Genomic DNA, 22,221 nt, shown 5'->3' with positions numbered 1-22,221 from the left:
CAAATGTTTTAAAAGAACAGTTGATAAATAGAGATACAAACTGTTTCTCAGTTAGAGAACTCCAAATTATAAAGATGCTGTATTAGGATAAGATAAGCTTTCTTCCTGTAGCAAATGAGCCCCCTCCCCCAACCAGAAGCTTGTGCACAAAAGCTAGTTTCTTATTTGTGCACGGTCTATTGTAATTGTGGCAGTCTTCCTCCATCCTGTAGAATGCATCGGGAACGCATGGTCTCCAAGCTTGCCATAACAAGGGAAGAGGCAGCTTGAAAAATCACAGGATGTTTTGAAAAGACTAATTCTGGCAGTGACTTGAATCATGTCAGCATAGATTCCATTATTCAGAATCCAGTTACATGGCCCCTTCAGCCCAACTGCAAGACAGGCTTAGACATGTAAGTCCAGGAAGAGGACCCAATGCAATGCAAGTCCAGGAAGAGGACACAGTGTGGTTAATGCAAGATGTCTTTGTCACACTTATCAGAAGCGCCCAGCACAGAGTTAACTCGCAAAACGTATATATTAAATAAAAGAAAATGAAATAAAATTAATATTAAAATCTTCCCCCAATTTAGTTTACAAATTCAAAGCAATGCCACCCAAAATTCCACTAGGGATTTGCATATAATTTGATAAGCCCATTCTGAAATTCATTTGAAAGGAAAAATATGGAAGAGCAGTCAGGAAATTTGGAAATAGAAAACTAGTGTTGATGAAGGGGAGGAGTATTACTTTATTACTATATCCAAAACAGGCTATAAAGCTATAGTAATTAAAACAGCTTGGAATTACTGCAGGAATATACAGATAATTAAACAGGAAAAACACCAACCATGTATATATGGCATATGTAGGGATTGCACGTGTAAAAAAAAAATAACATTTCAAATTTGTTGTTGAAAGGTCAGACACTTCAGACAATTGGCTACCCATTTTAAAAAATAGTTAAGTTAAAATAAACACTCACACTACATTCAAAACTAAATGCCATGCATATTAAATAACCAAAGATTTTTTTAAACATATACAATACTACAATAATATACAGAAATATATTTTATCGTCTTGTGGGTTTCTAAACATTGCACAAATTTCAGACACAAAGACCAGAAGAAAGAGGTAATAAGATATCAAAAGCAAGATTAAAATACAAGCACAGACTGGAAAAAAATTTTAATATATATGGAAGGTGAAGGATAACTACCCAGAAAATATTGAGCATATATAAACCAACACAAAGAAAAAGGCAAATATCACAATAGAAAAATGGTCAATGCATATTAATGGATAATCTATAGAAGGAGAAATGCAAGTGACCGTAACATGAAAAGATGCTGAACCTAATCAGTAACAAGGGAAATGCAAATCCAAACAAAAATGAGTTATTTTTCCTATCCTAGATTGGCAGTAATGAACATGAAAGATGTAGAAAAATAGGATCTCCCATTCATCAATTATAGGATTGTAAACGGGTAGAGATTCTACAGGCAACTATTTAGTAGATCTATCAAAATTTTAAAATTCATAAAACATTAACCAAGCAATTTCTTTTCTGAGTATCTGTTTTATAGAAACACATAGTTGGGCACAATGATATATGTGCAAAGATCTTCATTATGGCATTGTTTGTAATAACAAATAGCTATAAACAGCTAAAGTGCCCATCAATAAAAATTAGTTAAAAGCATTATGGTACATTTATACTGTGCAATGCCAAATAACCATTAAGAAAGATAGATCTATATATATAGTGTTTTGAAAAGATCTCCAAGAAATTGCATCAGGTGCAAATGCATGTCTCACAACAATATATAGTGTAATTCTGCTTATGAGTTTATTATGAGATGTGTGTGTGCATATGTGTGTTTATATAAATCCCCCCAATTTAGTCGACAGATTCAAAGAAATGTTTCTGTATACACAAACACAAACACACACACACACACACACACACACACACAATATGTATTTAAATGCATTGAAAAACTCCTGGAAGAGCACATAAAAATTAACAATGGTGACCTCTGGGACAGAAAGTGAGGAGTGGGAAATGAAGAAGTTCCATATTTTACTCTATAGACTTTGATAATGGTTTTTTTGTCTTGTTTTGTTTTGTTTTGTTTTTGAGACGAAGTCTCACACTGTTGCCTGGGCTGGAGTGCAGTGGCATGATCTCGGCTAACTACAACCCCCACTTCCCAGGTTCAAGTGATTCTCCTGCCTCCGCCTCCTGAGTAGCTGGGATTACAGGTGGCTGCCACCACACCTGGCTAATTTTTTTTTTTTTTTTTAGTAGAGACAGGATTTCACTATGTTGGCTGGGCTGGTCTTGAACGCCTGACCTCATGATCCACCCACCTCATCCTCCTAAAGTGTTGGGATTACAGGCGTGAGCCACTGCGCCCTGCCAGACTTTGATAATGTTTACTCATCTTCAACAATAATATATTTATTCACAGTCACACAGGGATGTGGGTATGTGTGGAGGGTGAGAGAAATAAAGAGAGAGAGAGAACTCTAGCCAGTGTACCCAGTAAACCATTTCTCCATATTTTCTCAATAAATGGATGGAACTAGACTTTATGAAACACTCACCATGTACGATTCACTTCCATATACACTCATTTCATCTGCACTGCAACTGTATTAAAAGGGACTTAGTAATATTTAACAGATGCAAAAAGAAGGGGATATACTTTACCAAGGCTCTGAGACAGGGCCCTTTTCCAAGAGATTTCCCCACTGTACTATGGAAAGGAACATTTGAACGTTAGAAAGACCATCAGTGCATCAGTGCAGTACGCCAGGGATTAGGGGAAAGCAAGGAAACAGTGACAGTTTGCTTCATGCATGAGACTTCCTGGCTTTTCACTAGAGTGATCTTGGGTCAGGTTTCCAGCTATGCTTGTCTTCTTTCTGCCTCCAGTTCAGCTCTATATCTGTAGCATCAGCTACTGGTTCCCACAACCTGTGTACATTTTCTTTCCAAACCACCATACAGAGCCTCTTCCTTCTCCCATCTGAGTTCCTGAGTCCCTTTGCGGTTAGCTTCAATGAATCTTTGCTACACCCTTTGAAAAAAGGCAAATAAGAGATTGCCTGCTGTTTACTTTCTCAAACTGACATACCAACCAGGGTCATTTTGTGCACATAGAAAGCACTAGATTTGGAGGAGACAAAAATAGACAAACATCCCTTTTTCTAACAGAACTGAATTTGAATATCAACTTTGCTACTTACTCACAGTACTATATGCTTTATTTCTTGGCTCCTTATTTTGCTTATGTGTAAAGCAGAAATTATGATATTACTCTTTCTTTCTTCATGGTTAGATAATAAATACATAAAGTGTTCAGTGAATAGTACATGCTCAATAAATAGAAATAACACCATTACTACCACTATTATGATTATTGTGTTAAGTATATTGCAATTCCTGTTTTTTTTGTGGCCAATGTATCATGTGACCTTATAGCATCCTACTGAATTAAGGTAGAAGTGTCTACTCTATTTTACACATGAGGAAACTGGGGATCATAGAAGTTAAATGACTCACTCATGTTCATATAGGTCACAAGGAGAAAAATGGCATTTGTACAGGTCTGTCCAATCTCACAGACCATTCTCTTGTCTGTCTTATTTATGTGCACCATACTCCTAGTGCTTAGCGCTGAACTTTGAAAAGGTAGACACTCATAGAATTCCAGTTTCTGGAATGATTTTTCAGGGGCTGAGATCTCTGATTTCTTGCCCCAACCATCCCCATCCCCTCCAGCCCATGCCTCTCTGAGATTTGTCACTGCAAATCTTTTCAAATTGCAAATATTGTTTCCACACCTTATTCAGATGCCTGTTTTGTCCATAGATGAGGCCACCCCTGTCTCAAAGGCTTGTCAAGGGCTTTTCTGGCTGTTAGACCAACGGAGGCTGCTAAAATCCCTAAGTGAACAGAAGCCTTGTGCTGTCCATGGTCCTGGAAGGTTTCACCTCTGAGCTACCAGGATGATAAAAACCTTGTATTTGCTACAGTCTTCAACCTTGGTTGACAGATGTACTGGGAATAGATTCTGGTTTGAGACACTAGTTGATGATTCCCTGTGAATTGGTATGTCATGCTTTTTAAAGTCTGTATGTTCATGGGAAACAGTCTTTAAATTTGCTTTGTGTGTGAACGTGCACGCTGGTGTCCCCTTGACTCCTCCAAAATGTCACAAATGACTTTCCTTGAATTTACCAATTTGCAGTATTAATGTGCTTCTCTCTAGACATCTGTGCCCTAGATAGATTCCAGGTAGAATAGCTGTCTCCTTCCTAAACTCTGACCTGTTTTGCAGGGAAAGGAGGCCTTGGTTTTAGGTCACCCCCAATGGGGGCATTCAGGATGTGAAGCTAATTCTGAGCTCTGTTTTATCATACAGTTGCGTGGAGGAGTACAAACTGGCTCCTGATGGAAAATCCTGCTTAATGCTCTCAGATGTCTGCGAGGGCCCCAAGTGCCTCAAACCTGACTCCAAATTCAATGATACCCTCTTTGGAGAGATGCTACATGGTTACAACAACCGGACCCAGCATGTGAACCAAGGCCAAGTCTTCCAGATGACCTTTAGGTATGCTGTAGATACTTGCACATTGCTTGTCTGAGTCACTGACAAACAACCTGGGCACAGGGAGGAAGCCATGGGCACAATGGGGTAGAGACCTGTTATTCTGGCCAGCATCACTTTAAGCTCACAGGTACCCTCTTAAGGAGTGTGGAAAGTCATCAAACTTTATTCCATAAGGTTTCTTTTTCATGGTCCTAGCATATATTTGTCCCACTTTGCCATTTTCCTAGTTCTAGCCCCACATTTTAAATTCAATCTTAAATTATCATATAAGTACAGTTAATGGCATTTTGAAAAACATTAATTAATCTTTCAGTCTACTGAAAAATAAGTATTTTATGCATGCTGTTCAGGCAGTTCAAAAATAAGGACATTTAATGTAGTAGAAAATAAAAATCGCATCACCCAGAAATACCTAGAATTAACATTTTCCTGAATGCTCTTAAAATTTCTACTTCTCTCTTTCTCTCTCTGTTTTTTCCTGTCTGCCTACACACACACACACACACACACACACACACACACTCCCCAAATCCCAGTAAAGCTGTTTAGAAATTGCTTTTTTCACTCAATAGTGAGTGACGGCTAGGTTGGCCAGATTATGTGAGGATTAAAGATGCAAGATATTGGTAAAGGGTTTTTGGACAGTTGAAACTGTTCTGCCTAAAGAAGAGAAACTTTAAGTGGTGACTTACTTATGCCTCAAAGCTTGAAGAACCATAAGCTAGTAGAGTGAGATTTGTTGTATGTATGGAGAAGGATTATCTAAACACACACTCACACACACACACACGTACACACACACATTATACTTTTAACCATGTTTGCATAAAAAAAAAGATATTATCACAAAGCAAGGCTCTCCTAATCATTTGAGGTCATATCAATAAAAGTCAGAACTAGTAATAAGTCACCATTATAATAATCATTGTTTCCATTCCATCATCTTACTAATAGTAGTGATAATTGTATTATGAGTGGTAATAAATGGTTACCATTTATTAATAATTATTCTGTGTCAAGTTCTTTACTACTAACTACTAACAATAATAATGTCCACTAACATTAATTCAGCATACACGAAAGGGTTTTCTAAGTATTTTTTGTCTATTAACTTATGTAATCCTCACAATGATCCTGTGAGGCAGGAGTCATTATCATCCTTTTTATACAGAAGAGAAAGAGAAATCTAGAGTAGCTTTCCAAAGACTCCCTTCTAGGAAGTAGGAGAGCCAAGATAATTTCATTTTAGCTTCATTATTAGAATCACTGGAGGCACTATGACCTCCATTTTACAATTGAGAAATTAATCCAGAGAGGTTGAGTGACTTTCTCAAGATCATCATCTAGTAAGAGGTAGAGTCAGGAATCAGATGTAACTCCAGCTGACTCTAAAACCTTGCTCTTGTATTTCAATTCAGCATACCCTCTTACTCCCATTTTACAGAATGAGAATGGAGATGTGAATTCACTAAAACCGTTCATCCTTGTAATCATCATATACTCTTTGAGAATCTCCTCTTTCTCATATACCATGCTGGTTATTGGGCATAAGATGGAAAAGGAGATAGAAATGGCCCCTCTGACACTTTAGGTATCGTTGGCAGGTGGATCCATGACTCAGTTGCTCAAGCAGAGACTGAATGCTACTTTACTGGAAAAGCTCCGAGCCAGGCATGGTGGCTCACACCTGTAATTCCAACACTTGTGGGAGGCCTAGGTGGGAGGATCACTTGAGCCCAGGAGTTTGAGAACAGCCTAGGTAACTTTGCAAGACTCCATCTCTGCTAACTTTTTTTTTTTTTAAACTGGGCTGGGTGTGGTGGCTCACACCTGTAATCCCAGCACTTTGGGAGGCTGAGGCAGGCGGATCATGAGGTAAGGAGATTGAGACCATCCTGGCTAACACAATGAAACCCCATCGCTACTAAAAATACAAAAAAATAGCCAGGCGTAGTGGCAGGCGCCTGTAGTCCCAGCTACTCAGGAGGCTGAGGCAGGAGAATAGCATGAACCCAGGAGGCGGAGCTTGCAGTGAGCTGAGATTACGCCACTGCACTCCAGCCTGGATGACAGAGTGAGACTCCGTCTAAAAAAAAAAAAAAAAAAAAATATATATATATATATATATATATATATATATATATATATATTATTCGAACTTGGTGGTACATGTCTGTAGTCCCAGCTACTTGGGAGGCTGAAGCAGGACCATCACTTGAGCCTGGCCATTCAAGGTTACAGTGAGCTATGATCATGCCACTGCAATCCAGTCTGGGCAACAGAGTGAACACTTGTCTCTATTTAAAAAAAAAAAAAGAACAAAAATCAGGAAAAGCTCTGGGAAAAATTTAAGGATAGTCTGGATGAATTGCAGTTCAATGCTGAGATTCTACAATACTAGTTTTCTATAATTTTAATGGTCTATGAAAGTGTGTCTTGAGCAACATCATGGATAGAATAATGTTGCTTGGAATACAAAATAAAAAAATAAAGGAATTATTCCTTCTCTTTGAGGAAGAAATTTAAAAGCTTGCAAGATGACACACACAAGTTTTAAAAAAATAGAAAAATTTAATTTGCAAAGCAGTGTTCCAAGGAAAGACGATGGTTTCCAAAGAGTTCCCATGGAAGCCTGTTGAAAGGAATTAGAAGGAAAGATAAAGGGCTTCTCAAAGGACAAAGTTTGTGAACTGAGGTTTGAAGTGATAGCAAAGAATAGTGCCTCTTGGGACAGATAAGAGTTAAAGGGCATTTTCCTGTCCAGGAAGGAGCCTGCAAAGGCCCAGACATATGGATAAGCAAGGGTGGGAGTCAAGAAAACAGACTGCCAATGAACATGCCTTCAAATCCCAGCCCCACCCATGAGAAGCATAATTCTACTGCTTCATCTTTAAAATGGGGTGCTTTTAACAGAAGCCAGCCATTTCCATAGGTACATTGTATGTTTTATGGAGTTTCATTTCTCACAGCAGCTCTCAGAGTGGCTGGCATTTGATAATTGAGCCAATGTACCATTCTGTTGTGTGAAGGATAGCTTGGTCCAAAAGAAGGATCCACATGGGTAGTAAGAGGCTAGATCCTGAACAAACTTCATTAAATCCTGGGATCTCATTTTACATGCAGGGAAAGGACTTGGTCACAAAGCAAGTCATTGTGGGACCAGCCCACGTTCTCAGTTCTCCTGACTGCTTGGAGTGCTTATCTTCCCACGGCCAACAGACTCGTCAGTGAGAAAGAGCATGGCACCGCTGGTTGTGGTGGCTCATGCCTGTCATCCCAGCACTTTGGGAGGCTGAGGCGGGCAGATCATGAGGTCAGGAGATTGAGACCATCCTGGCTAACATGATGAAATGCTGTCTCTACTAAAAATACAAAAAATTAGCCGGGCGTGGTGGCGGCTGCCTGTTGTCCCAGCTACTTAGGAGGCTGAGGCAGGAGAAGGGCGTAAACCCGGGAGGCGGAGCTTGCAGTGAGCCTATAGTGGTACTGCACTCCAGCCTGGGAGACAGAGCAAGACTCCATGTCAAAAAAAAAAAAAAAAAAAAAAAGAAAGAAAGAAAGAACATGGCCCCTTAAAGGCTGGCCTAGGACTGACTGTCCAGTCCCAGACACAATTTTAGGTCCATTAGAAGTCATTGTTCTGCCTCAAATACTCTGCTAATTGTTTCCAACTTCTCAACCCTGGATTGCCTCTGAACAGCCAGAGCCTAAGTGCCCTGATTTGCCCATGGAGGGGAGTACAGTGAACAGACCAGGATTTTCTCTTTTGATGACCCTCAAGATTTAGAAAACTCCCAAGACTACCACCATTATATTAGAGCAATCTATTCCATTTAAGCTCTGTCGTCCTTGGCTTCAGCTAAACTTTCTTTGCAATTATTTCCATCTCCAGACCATGTATCCTCTTGGAACCATGCTAAGTCAGTTGCCTCCCCACTGTGGAAAGGCAAGCCACTTCTGATGGGTCTAAATTTATCTTTTCCTTTTTTTCTTTTCTTTCTTTCTTTTTCTTTCTTTCTTTTTTTTTTTTTTTTTTTTTTTTTTTTGAGACAGAGCCTCACACTGTTGCCTGGGCTGGAATGTGGAGTGCAGTGACATGATCTTGGCTCACTGTAACCTCCACCTCCCAGGTTCACGCGATTCTCCTGCCTCAGCCTCCCAAGTAGCTGGGATTACAGGCACACACCACACCTGGCTAATTTTTTGTATTTTTAGTAGAGACGGGGTTTCGCTGTGTTAGCCAGACTGGTCTCAAACTCCTGACCTCGCGATCCACCCCCCTTGGCCTCCCAAAGTGCTGGGATTACAGGCGTGAGCCACCCCGCCCAGCCGTAAATTTATCTTTTTCAAGTCTCCCTTCCTGAGCTCCAGACAGCAGGGAGGATGGAGCTCCTTTGTCCTTCACATTCCTGAAAGCCTGCAAATATTTCAGCATCAAATGCAGTTGTCATTTCTCTCCTCCTACTACTTCCTTTCCTCCCTCCTCTAAGTAATCTCTGGTCCAGCCCTAGAGAGTAGCCAGCAAGTACTGCCACCAGCCGTCTCACCATATGCCTCATTTCCTGACAATTGGCTGGCCTAGGATATCAAACTCTCTACCAGCTAGTGTCTCCTGTGTGACAGCTGCAGTTCTGCTTTGTACTCCTCCCTGCCCCTGCCTAGATCACCCCACCTAGCAACTGCTGATATAAGAGAGGTCTGTGTTTTCATTTCCTCTCTTGAATCTCTGAAAGAGCAACCCAGATTTCTGCTTTACAAAGCGCTTAAAAATGTAATGTCTCTGAACTAGACAAGAACTTAAAGATTAACTATTTCAGACCTTACTTGTACAGATGGAGAAACGGAAGCTCAGGAAATAATATAACTGGCTCAATATTCACAGTGATTGGAACTCCTCTCATGCTGAAAGTTAGCTTCTGACTCCCAAACCAGTGCTCCCTGGTTTCTTGTTCTGCAATAAAGGATGTATGCAACTACTTTATATCCCATATCAGCATGTGATGAGGAGAGCCATGTGTTCTATCCCTGTTCTCAGTGTAGAGTGAGGACCCAGGTGCCACAGGGGGAGACCAAATTTATAACTAAGGAGGGATCTTAGGCAAAGACCACTCCATGGGGAGCTACCTCTTCAGGTCACTGCATGTAGGCTACAGCCTGTTCTGGGGGGCGAGCATGTGGTGATATTTCCTGAACAGTCCAAGGGTTTGCACTGTGTGCAAAAATTAAGCATGGTGCACATTAAGAGATTCACATGGAAAGATAAAGACAGGGCAAGAGTGACAAGGAGACTCAGTCAGACCGAGCAGAGGCAGGGAGAAAGAGACAAAAACAGAGGAGACACTAAAGAACAGTCTATGTCACAGCAGGAGGGAACAGCAAGCAAAGAAAGAATTAAGAAGAGATGTAGAGCAGTGAACAGAGTTAAGGAGGTACAGAGACAGACAGCAGAAGGCGGGGAAGGGGGAAATGTGTGCAAGACGGAAGGACTGAAGGAGACATGAAAAGATCAAGAAAGAAGGACACAGTTCATACAAAAATCAAAATACAGTTTATTCCTCGGAAGGGAATGGGGCTTGTTTTGAGAGACTGGATGGTGCTGAGAGAGACCACTGGATTAGGAATTATGTTGAAATTGACATGAATGAAGCCTTTGGTAAAATGTCAAGTTCTGTGGAAATGTGAAGAGCCAATGATTTCACTTCCAAATTGCCCCCAAATCCATTAAGTGATGTCAAGCTTTGTTGTTTCTTATCCCTTCCGGTGCTAAGTGTTGGTCTCAGTGATCCATGTAGGGTCACTGTCAGAATCCCCTTTCCTTTGCTCTTGATCAGTGTGGGAATTGACAGACTATTCAAGTGAGATAAACTCACCAAAGATTGGTGGTATTTGATGTTTATTTGTTTGTTTTTTATTCTCCCCCCCCCCACTCTCTTACCCACATTCATTCTACTTCATTCCTATAAGGAAGAAAGGTAAACTTTGGTTATAGATTGCAGAGATTTAGATAAACATCAGTCAAGAGCTATTATTGAACCTGGTGTCTCAGAAATGACAGGAAGGAAAAGCTGCTTGGGAATGGGGACTGAGCAAATTACAGTGGTAGATTTTGCAAAAGCCTCATCATAAATAAGATGGGTCTGCTGGCAGTAGGCATTTGCCAATAGGCCCTCAAGAATGACCTGCAAAGAGCTGGAGGAGCTCATGAGAGATTTATTAGAAAGGGACTTTTCAATCTTGTCTGCTTATCAGATGTGCATATTGTATAGCATAAGAGGACAGTTTGGGGTAAGATGTGGGATTTGGGGATTCAGCACCCACAACCCACGCTTGGCAAGACTGAAGGGCTTTCTATAAGGATTCAAGGAAAGCTGGTGTTTGTTAGTAGCACTCACTCATTCCCCCACTGAGGATACTGAGTCAGTTCTTATTAAGTGGTCTCCAAAGCTGTTGTGGCCTATGATTTTTCTAGTGCCTTCCTAAGAGGTGATTAATTAAACATGCTGCTTCTGAAACCTTCTTTCCCCTCCCTTCCACCTCTTTCCCTCCCCCCGCCCCTTTAATGGTGTGTACATTTTTTATGTGTCTGGACCTATGCTGAATACTTTATGTGTTTTTTCATTTGATATTTTCACACCTATTGCAAAGGAGCCATTAACAACTTGGCTTTATGAATAAAAGGAAATGAATGTATCAGTCAGAATGCATTCGTTTGTGTCTTGGGAACAAACAATTTCAAACTTCAGTGGCCTGACTGTGAAAGTTTTTATGTGTTGGTCATACCACCTGCCTCTCCCTGAATGGCAGGGGCCCTGGCCATTCTGGTGTTCGGAAATCTGGACTGACAGAAGAATCACCTTTCTGTGCTTCCATTAATGCTTTCATAGTGAGAAACAAACTTGGCTATCATAACTTTCTCCTAGCAGTGAAATTCTGCTTCTATTTCTGGTCAAATTAAGTCCCATTGCTATCTCAAAGGATTGGACAGAGACATGCTATCTTATGATGCATCTTACGATAAGACATGCTGTCTTATCTCAGCACATTGTAAGACACTGAGAAGCAAAGGCACAGACATATTTGTGGGACACTGAAGCACAGACAGATTAGGCTAACTAGCCTAGCAGTCAAACAGCTAAAGTGGTAGCATCTGGGTTTAACACCAAAGTTCACTTAACAGTCATGCCTTCAAGGCTCCCAGCACTCTCCTGTTTCATATTGCAGCCTCTGAGAACTATACTACATCATTCTATTCTCTTGTCAATTTCTTTCTTTCAGTTACTGAAGAACCACAAAATTTATAGCTGGAAAAGCCTTGCAGAACAATTTGAACAAACTCTCCTCTTTTGTTTGTTTGTCTGTCTGGGACAGAACCTTGCTCTGTCGCCCAGGCTGGCGTGCAGTGGCATGATCTTGGCTCACTGCAACCTATGCCTCCTGGGCTGACCTGATTCTCCTGCCTCAGCCTCCAGAGTAGCTGGGATTACAGGCGTGCGCCACCATGCCCAGCTAGTTTTTGTATCTTTAGTAGAGACAAGGTTTCACCATGTTGGCCAGGCTGGTCTTGAACTCCTGGCCTCAAGTGATCCTTCCACCTCAGCCTCCCAAAGTGCTGTAGTTACAGATGTGAGTCACTGCACCTGGCTAAACTCTCCCCTTTTGTAGATGGGATACCTGAGGCTCACAGTGGTTAAGTAAATTGCCTAAAATTGTATCACTAATAAATGAATAAGCCAGTCCTTCAATGCTCAGTCTGTTTGTCTGCACTATATTCTGTCTGAAGCCTTGGAGACATGGCATCCAACCCTGACACTGTACAGGAGCACCAATGCCAAGGTCCCATAGAGAATTAGTGGCAGAACCAGGCCTGGAAAGTTGTGTTTGTGCACTCTCAGGTCTGTGTGCTTTATAATAGACGATGATCTCATTGAAATAAGAAAAAGCAAAAGAGGCTGTTAGTAGAGACAGCATTAATTAAAAGGAGGCATTAGCTTCTGATTTTCAAGGCTATTCCCAAGCCTCTCTATGGAGCAATATTCTGCAGTATTCAAGCTCTTAGCAAAATCCTCAACTTGTCACTTGGAAACATAGCACTTTGCTGCCTTCTTTGAGGGACCATTGGCAAGATCTTAGAAGTGCACTGAGGACAGCAGTTGGAGGCTGGATTAGAGGAGTCAAGGGGTGAATTTTCCTGGCATTCTGACTCCTGAACTGGTTGCAGAAAAAAAAACCTCTTTTCTTTTGTGTGGCTCCATGTTTCCAAGGTTTTCTGACATCTTCTGCAGGAATCAAGACCAGTGTTGGGTGTAGCATAGGGGCTGGAATCAGAAAGCTAACTTTCTTTTTTCAAACCACTTTATTAAAGTATAATTGACATATAAAAAGCTGTTCTTATCTAATGTGCACAACTTGATTAGTTTGGAGATAAGTATATACTAGTGAATCCATCACCACCGTCAAGGCCATAGATAGATCCATTACCTTCCATAGTTTTCTCCCACCCTCTTTGTTTATTTAGATTTTTATGCTAAGAACATTTAACACCCAGCATTTTGGGAGGCCAAGATGGGAAGATTGCTTGAGGCCAGGAGTTCAAGACTAGTCTGAGGATTATAGTGATATCACATATCTACAAAAAAAAAAAAGAAAAATTAAGTTAGCTGAACATGGTGTTGTGCAGCAGTAGTCACAGCTACTTGAGAGGCTGAGGTGGGAGGATCACTAGAGCCCAGGAATTTAAGGCTGCCGTGAGCCATGATGGCACCACTGCATTCCAGCCTGGGTGACACTGTGAGATCCTGTCTCAAAAAACAAAACAAAACATTTAACATATCTTAGTGAAATTTGAGTCTACAATACAGTATTGTTAGCTATGGGGACTATACTATGTAATAGATCTCCAGAACTTATTTATCTTGCATAATAAAACTGTTCCCAAAACTTTGTGCCCTTTAGTCCTTGCCTCCCCATTTTTCCCTTCACCCAGTTCCTGACAACTGCAATTCTACTCTCTGCTCCTATGAGTTTCTGATACTGCTCTGCCATTTCCTGCTGTATCACCCTTGGCCATTCTTCTCCCTGGTTTCTGTGGCCTCTTCTGTAAATTAAGGCTAATGCAAATATCAGATAGAGGCTGAGAGCATCTGACACAAAACATAGCATTTTTGCTACTCAACTCCTATGGCCAGGAGCTTAGGGAAGCTTTTCCTATTCACCTGATCATAAGAATCACGTGGGGCTGCACCAAGACCCACCATTTTTCCCAGAAAAGGGATTCGGGAAAGCGAATTTTTACCAGTATTTCCAAGTGGTTCACATGATCCAACAATTTTGGGATACAATGACTTTGTATTTAAGAGGCCAGCTCTGGACTCAGAGTCCCAGCTTGGCCAACTGTGTGACTATAGACACATTATTTCATTAAGCCTCAATTTCCCCCATCCCTAAATTAAGAATAATAGTAACAATGCCCACTTCCTGGTGTTGAGATAATTAAATGGAATTGGAACCTGTTTCATATCTGTCCTTGGCAGACAGAAGTCCCACGTGCCATAGAGGGCTGCCAGGTTCATCACTAAGGAGGAGCTGTAAGCAAAGCTCACTTGCATGTGCAGGATTATGCAGGGACTAGATCCTCTTCCTGGCTGGTGTGCTGCTGTTAAAAACTAACAGGGTCCAAATCCCGTGTCTGCCCTTTCCAAGCTGTGTGGCTTTGGATAAATTTCTTAACTTCAGTAATCTCAAGATCTTCAACTATAAAGTGGTGTTTTACCTTAAAATAACCCTGAAGAGCTTTGGCAAGGATTTAACAGGCAAATAAGCAAAGCTCCCAGCACACAGTAGGATCCCAATAACCATTCCTTTCTCTGCCTTAAATTGCATTCCTTTCCCCCCAGTTCCAGGAGCCATACAGCAGATGAAGATGGGTTTTTTTTCATTCCCTGCAAAACTTATTTCTGGACTGGAGCCAGGGTTATCCTCTCAACTTCTTCTAAGCAGCTCATGTTTTGGTAAACATGGTGCTTTCATCAAATGCCCAGGATAGGGGCAGAAGCTCAGCCCTTCATGCTCTGGGGGTGAGGGTCATGGGAAGTGGACAGCTCAGCTAGCAGTGTGGAATCACAGCCTCGGGAAAACATAATCTCTCCAGTGTGTTCTGTCACCTGTCCCTTATAGGGACATCCTTTTTTTTCTGTCTGAACATTCTGTAATGAAACACATCTTATTAGGAATGTGGGATTTAAGTGTTCATATTTACTATGTGGAATTTGATAAAGGGCCTGGGCCCAGATCCAAAAGTTGCAGTGGTGTGCTAATCTCCCACCTCTAGGGTGATATTAAAAATATTTACTGATAAGGCCGGGTGCAGTGGCTCACGCCTGTAATCCCAGCACTTTGGGAAGCCGAGGCGGGTGGATCACGAGGTCAGGAGTTCGAGACCAGCCTGGCCAACATGGTGAAACCACGTCTCTATTAAAAATACAAAAAAAATGAGCTGGGTGTGGTGACAGGTGCCTGTAATCCCAGCTACATGGGAGGCTGAGGCCAGAGAATCACTTGAACCCAGGAGGCGGAGATTGCAGTAAGCCGAGATTGCACCATTGCACTCTAGCCTGGGCAACAAGAGTGAAACTCCATCTGAAAAAACCAAGCAAACAAAAAAACAAAAACAAAAACATTTAACGATAAGCATAGAAGTGCCACTTGCCCAATAGGAAAGGAGGCCCTTTCAAACAGCATAAAGCTTAACCAGCAAGCCTTGCTGGACTGCACATCAGTCTCGCTCACCTACTACCTGTCCTAATTTTCTTCCCCTATTATCACCACATCACATCCTCTGTTCATTTCCCAATACCCTTAAAGCATAACCCATCTTGTAAAACTGTTTTCTATCCCTTTCAAAGCCTGTGTTTGAGGGGCATAGGCAGATATTTCTCCCATGACACATGTTGACAAAGCAGATTGATGCTCATACGCTTTACATGAGAAAATTGAAGCCCAGAGAGAGGAAGCATGGCATTCAAGGCCACACAGCGTGTAAATAATGGAGCCAGGATTGAAGGGCTGCTCTTCTAAACACTCCATGGCCTCTAGATAACATGTGTGCTCAGGCACATGCACATGGTCTAAACCAAGCTCATCCAACCCACAGCCTGCAAGCCATATGTGGCTCAGGATGGCTTTGAATGTGGCCTAATGCAAATTTGTAGACTTTCTTCAAATATTATGAGGTTTTTGGCCCGGCTCGGTGGCTCACGCCTGTAATCCCAGCACTTTGGGAGGCCGAAGTGGGTGGATCACCTGAGGTCAGGAGTTCGAGACCAGCCTGACCAACATGGAGAAATCCCATCTCTACTAAAAATACAAAATTAGCCGGGCTTGGTGGCGCCTGCCTGTAATCCCAGCTACTCGGGAAGGCTGAGGCAGGAGAATCACTTGAACCTGGGAGGTGGAGGTTTTGGTGAACCGAGATTGCACCATTGCACTCCAGCTTGGGCAACAAGAGTGAAACCCCATCTCAAAAAAAAAAAAAAAAAAGGTGTTTATTTTTGTTTTGTTTTGTTTTGTTTTGCATATCAGCTATTATTGATGTTAGTGTATTTGATGTGTGGCTCAAAACCATTCTTTCTTCTTCCAACATGGCCCAGGGAAGCCAAAAAATTGGACACTCCTGGTCCAAACCATATGATCCTCTAAGAGCTGGGAAGCAAATAATAGCTCATCATTATTATGCATGAAAACCCTATCTAAAGGTGGGAATTTTCCATATATCTGCTTAAAGTCAGAACTCAATACACATGAATTATGCCAGTGCTTCTCAAACTCTAAGGTACAAACCAATTGCCTGCTAAAATATAGATTATGCATCAGTAGGCCACAGGTAATAAATTCTGAGGCTCTGTATTTCAAATTAGCTGCTGGGTCCAAGGACCAGCTTTTTTGTTTGTTTTTCAAACATATTTAAGATTCTGTTTTTTCTGGACCTCAATCCCATTTCCCAAAGGACCGTTAAGTTCCTTTTGTATTCACCAGAATTTTAAACAAATTAAAATATGTGTTTCCAAGTGGGATCATATGATCTAAATATCTAGCTAGCTAGATAGCCAGCCATACTGTTCTGCACCTTGAGTTTTTCACTTACTCATAGCTCTTGGAGAGCTATCAATGTTTATAGATCTTCCTCCTACGTTTCAGGCATACCATATTTTTCCACTGTAGGGATAACATATGCTCCATGAGGGCAGGGATTTCTGTCTGTGTTGTTCATTGCTGTGTCCCCCGTTCCTGCTGAATATGTGTTGAATGATTGAATCATATAATTATTAACCACTCCTTTATTCATGCACATCTAGGTTGCTTCCAGTTTTTGGCTTTTCCAAAACGTATTTCAGTGAACAATTTTATGTATATATGTCTGAGCATACTAATATATCCGTAGGACAAATTCCTAGGAATAGAATGATTGGGTTAATTGTTATGTGTGTTTTATTTTATTATTTTTTGTTTGTTTCTCTTTTTAAATTTTTTTTTCAACTTTGAGATTCAGGGGGTACATGTGCAGGTTTTTTACCTGGGTATATTGCATGATCCTGAGGTTTGGGCAATGAATGATCCCTTTACTCATGTGCTGAGCATAGTACCCAATATTCAGTTTTTAACCCTTGTCCCCTTTCTCCTTCCCCCCTCAGTAGTCCCCAGTTTCTGCTATTCCCATCTTTATGTCCATGAGTACAGAGGAACAGCTTTGAATAGCAAAGTGTTAAACTGAACTTAAATGCTAGATGGAAACACGAGCTGCCTAGGTTATGCCTGAGAATGAAGAATTGTTGTTCCTCCATTTGCCAGTTTGAAAGCAGGAACCAAGTCCCAAGGCCAATGGCACTAGAGATCCATGGAATCTTAAAGAAGTCTTCTGCGTATAATCCTCTCTAGAGTGACCAAGTGCAGAGAATATGTTTCAGTTTTGCAGCAGCCAGGGGAGACAGACCTCTCCTGCAATCCAATAGGCCCCCGGTGCATAATGTAGCAAAGGTTATTTTGTGTTCATCCGCTCTGCTATCTGATGGGCACAGGGATGCTTAGAGATCAGTGCCAACAGAGAAGGCACTTATTGAAGGCAGGCTGCTAAGTCCCAGGTGCTGAAGCCACGGTTGGGTGCCTGGATTAGAGCCTCCTCTATGTGCCCACGCTGCAATTTCAGCCATAATTGGATGCAGCAGAAAGCTACTTACCAGCAGAGTGCTGGGCTGCATTCTGCTTCAGGTCAAAGGTTGAAGACAAACTCCTGGAAGAGTAGCGAGAAATCCATTTAGGAGAAGACATTGGCCTGGGTGAAGCTTTATTATTCTTAAGCGCTGAAACAAAAATCTCATAGCATCAACACCCATTAGTTTGACTGGGGATAGAAAGTAAGTAGTAAAATTAAGATCTAGTGAAAGATGTTCTTTATTATTATTATTTTTTTAATGGGGAGCAGGGAATTGGGATCCATTTTTAAACAAGCCCTCTGTAATCTTTCCCCGTATTTATGGTAAGAGAGGAAAGAAAAATAGCCACTTTAATTTTTTAAAATTTTCTCAATGTTAACATCTCTAAATATACCAAACCTGGTCATTTTATGAAGAAAACAAATTATACAGAGTATATTTCAAATGTTCTCCAACTAACCTAAAAATGTGTCTCTAGACTGCAAGAGGTGCTAAAACAACAAAATCAACAAGATCCATTTTGCTTGTCTTCACAGCTCGCTTTCCCCCCTTTTTTGGTTTTGTTTTAAATTTCTGGCTTCAAAATCCCTGACTGTGTTCTTTTTCTAGAAGGGGAAAGCCTATCTGAATCACTGAGACATCTGAAGCAGAGACAATTTTTAAAGAAGCGCAATTTCATTACACTCAAATGCAGGCCGTAACTCAGGCTGGTCTAAACGCTCAGAAAGAAAAGTCCTTAGGGAACCTATGAACAGATAAGGTTAGATTGTAATTAGCACAGTAATTGTAATTAGCAGAGCAATTGTAATTAGCACAGTGATTGTTTGTTCATAATGGCTGCTTCCAAAGTGACTCCAGGCAGTTTGTTCTCTTAAGTGTCTTCTGCCATTTCCCCCATGATCTTGTTTACACTGCTAATGCACTAATGTGCTTAGCAATCTCTTTTATAAATAAACACTTCTAAGGTATGAGCCAGCCCAGCTGCTGGTCAAGGCATTATGCATTCTTAATGGAGTCCACAGTACTGAAATTTTACTGTATTACATTATGGTCAATCCACATTGGTATCTCACTCAAGAAAGAAATCACACCTCAGAAGTCATTTGTTACTGTTATTGTTTTATTAATTATAAGAGGGAATAAGATGATGACAGAAATGAACTTGAGGTCAGAAGTTCTAGCCCTGGCTTTACCACTAGTTCTCATTTGTGAGTTAACGAGTTTTTATTGAACATCTGTTATATATCAGGTCTTATAAATCTCTGGAGATAGGGCTGGGTGCGGTGGCTCACGCCTGTAATCCCAGCACTTTGGGAGGCCTAGGCAGGTGGATCACTAGAGGCCAGGAGTTTGAGACCTTTCCTTCTTTCTTTCTTTTCTTTTCTTTCTTTCTTTCTTTCTTTCTTTCTTTCTTTCTTTCTTTCTTTCTTTCTTTCTTTCTTTCTTTCTTTCTTTCTTTCCTTCTTTCTTTTCTTTCTTTCTTTCTTTCTTTCTTTCATTCCTTCCTTTCTTTCTCTTTCTTTCTTTCCTCTTTTTCCTTTCTTTTCAATATGGTGAAACCCCGTCTCTAGTAAAAATACAAGAATTAGCCCAGCGTGGTGGCGCATGCCTGTAATCCCAGCTACTCGGGAGGCTGAGGCAGGAGAATCGCTTGAACCTGGGAGGCAGAGGTGCAGTGAGCCGAGATCACACCACTGCACTCCAGCCTGGGTGACAGAGTGAGACTCCATCTCAAAAAAAAAAAAAAAATCTCTGGAGATAAAGAGAAGAAGACAGTTGACGTCCCTATTCTTGTGCAGAAGGACTACTCATCAAGTGCATTTTGCTCAGTGAGAGGCAGCGAAGACTCCCTGGAAGAAGTGCTTCCTGAGACCTGGAGGCTAGAGTAACAGTTAGCATGTGAGGGAGTGTTCCAGGCAAATGAGAACAAAGAGGGTCTGCAGACGTGAAAGTCAAGGTGGGTCATGAAGGGGTGGAGGGATGGGATTGCAGAGGTAAGGAAGCCAGGGCGGAGGATGGACATTCCAACAGGAAAGGCTATGTAAGCACCAAAGGGGGCCATTACTAGCTGTAAGACCTTGCACCTTCTAATTGCCTTTCTAAGCCTCAGTTTTCTCACCATGAAGTCAGGGAACATAACAGTGCCTGCCTCACAGGAGAATTATGAAGAGGAGAAAGAGGTGATGAGAAAAGTAAGGGTAGGCCGGGTGTGGGGGCTCACGCCTGCAATCCCAGCACTTTGGGAGGCCGAGGCAGGCAGATCATCTGAGGTCAGGAGTTCAAGACCAGCCTGGCCAACATGGTGAAACCCAGTCTTTACTAAAAACACAAAAATTAGCTGGGTGTGGTTGTGAGTGCCTGTAATCCAAACTACTCGGGAGGCTGAGGCAGGAGAATCGCTTGAACCAGGGAGGCAGATGTTGCAGTGAGCCAAGACCACGCCACTGCACTCTAGCCTGGGTGACAGAGTAAGACTCTATCTCAAAAAAAAAAAAAAAAAAAAAAAGAGAAAGAGAAAAGTCAGGTTAAGATGCCTTGTAAAGATGTGGGAGTATTAGTGACATTTTCCTCAACATGAATCCAGGGATCTGTGAGATACCACTTACTCCAAAATTGTGTTGTAGTGTGCGTCCTGTCACACTTGAAATCATGTGAGATGCAAATTTGCCAGCATTACTTTCTTTGTATTCCTTCCAGATAAATGAAACAGTAAGTCTATTCTAAGGTCACATTAATAAGCCCACACATGTGTATCAAGAAAATTAACTTTTAAGGAAATAGTTTTATTTCAAAGAGATGCCCTGAATTGAAATGTATGTAGTAACAGTTCTAATGAAAGATATGATCACAGTTTATTGGATGTGAATTTATACAGAAAGCTCCAAGGGCAGTGGCTGGGGTTTTATGTAACATCACTACTGAATAATTACTATTAATGATAATCTAGTGGAACACCTCAAAGGTGGCTTTTAAGAGTCCAAAATGAGCATTTATTTTTTTATGTTGCCTGAGATCCTCAGAGGAGCCCATTAAGTGGACAGTTAATTAGCAGGCACAAGCCAGGAGTCAAAGCTACAGGCATTTGAGTAGCCCAGGGCTGGTTAATTCATTGTATGCCTGAGGACTTTGAAAGAACCTTAAACCCTGAGTCAGCCTCTTCATTCTTTACTGAGTTCCCAGTGACCTTGAGGCTGCTTCCCTTTCTTTTTGATGCTTTCTAGTGTAGGAGGAAAGAAAGACGATGAAGTGATTGTTCTTACTTGTCATGCCGTGGTTCAGAGAACTAAAGTTGCTCTAAAGGATATCCCTGTAAGTTTCGATTAATTCCCTACTTCTTAGGAGTTAGTGAGGACCCAGCCACTGGGAATAAACAAGCCCAGAGACCATATAGGCATTTTGCAGCTGTATTTGCAAAGAAGGTGGAAACACAGCTTGAGAATTAAGCTAAATTGCAATTAAATTTGCTTCAGCTTTGTGCTCCAGCCAATCAGTACACATCAAGAGCTTATTATGTGACAGGTTCTGGGGATTCAGGCTGAACAAAACTCGGTCTAATGTTGGTGTAAAGGGAAAGTAATATACTTTTTTATTTTTTGTATTATCTAAGGCTGTGTTCAAACTTGTTTTTTACTGTCACCCCTTGTCATAGAAAAAAAATAGGATTGAATTCTTCTTAATGAGAGAAATTAAATACTAAGGGTCACAGTTTTATTGGGTAGAGTTAGACATTGGAGGACCACAAGCCATTGTATTGTCTAAGACAATTTCTGCGACTACTGAGAATGCATGATGTTAGTGGATTTGCAAGTGTCATTTTATAAATGAGGTAACTGGGTCTCAAAGAGATCTGATGACTTGACTGTCATCACATAGCTGGTGTCAGAGCCTTACTTACTGGATCTTTCTGACACTTGGATGTTCTTTTCCGTATTCCACTCAGATAGGGTTATTTTTAATATATATTTTAATGTACAAATACTACTTCTATATATTTATGAGATAGAATGTGATGTTTTGACATATGTGCTCACTGTGGAATGATTAAATCAAGCTAATAAACATGTTCATCATCTCACATACTTTTTGTGATGAGAATATTAAAAAACTTTTCAAAGCAAATTTTTGAAATATATAATCCATTATTAACGATGGTCACCACACTGAGCAATGGACTAAAACTTGCTCCTCCTGTCTAATCGAAACATTGTACCCTTTGACCAATCTCTCCCTATTCTTCATCTCCCCGCAATTCCTCATCTTCTTCCCACCCCCTGCCTCTGATAACCACCATTCTACTCTCTAATACGAGTTTGACTTTTTAGATTCCACATACAAGTGAGAACATGCAGTATTTGTCTTTCTGTGTTTGGCTTATTTCACTTAGCATGATGTCCTCCAGGTTCAGATAG

General features: G+C 41.1%; 1 protein-coding gene across 3 annotated transcripts in view, besides 2 other annotated features; it reads left to right on the top strand.

Moving 5' to 3' along the window:
• The window catches only part of ASTN2 (astrotactin 2), a 991,946-nt gene that overhangs the window by 604,819 nt on the left and 364,906 nt on the right, over positions 1-22,221 (top strand). For all 3 annotated transcript variants that reach the window (NM_014010.5, NM_001365069.1, NM_001365068.1), the window contains one exon: positions 4,419-4,607. In NM_014010.5, the coding sequence (NP_054729.3) occupies positions 4,419-4,607 (189 nt within the window). The remainder of the gene's footprint in view (positions 1-4,418; positions 4,608-22,221) is intronic.
• Positions 7,996-8,497: an enhancer, noted in NCBI's record as "H3K27ac hESC enhancer chr9:119564021-119564522 (GRCh37/hg19 assembly coordinates)". NCBI's record gives its function as "activates a minimal SCP1, AML or CMV promoter by ChIP-STARR-seq in primed H9 embryonic stem cells {active_cell/tissue: H9 hESC(primed)}" and the evidence as "EXISTENCE:reporter gene assay evidence [ECO:0000049][PMID:30033119]".
• Positions 9,490-10,234: an enhancer, noted in NCBI's record as "H3K4me1 hESC enhancer chr9:119562284-119563028 (GRCh37/hg19 assembly coordinates)". NCBI's record gives its function as "activates a minimal SCP1, AML or CMV promoter by ChIP-STARR-seq in primed H9 embryonic stem cells {active_cell/tissue: H9 hESC(primed)}" and the evidence as "EXISTENCE:reporter gene assay evidence [ECO:0000049][PMID:30033119]".

This window comes from Homo sapiens, chromosome 9 (genome assembly GCF_000001405.40).
Source record: "Homo sapiens chromosome 9, GRCh38.p14 Primary Assembly".
Lineage (NCBI taxonomy): Eukaryota > Metazoa > Chordata > Mammalia > Primates > Hominidae > Homo > Homo sapiens.
Note: the sequence above shows the minus strand (reverse complement) of the source record. Positions and strands in the feature narration are given on the sequence as shown.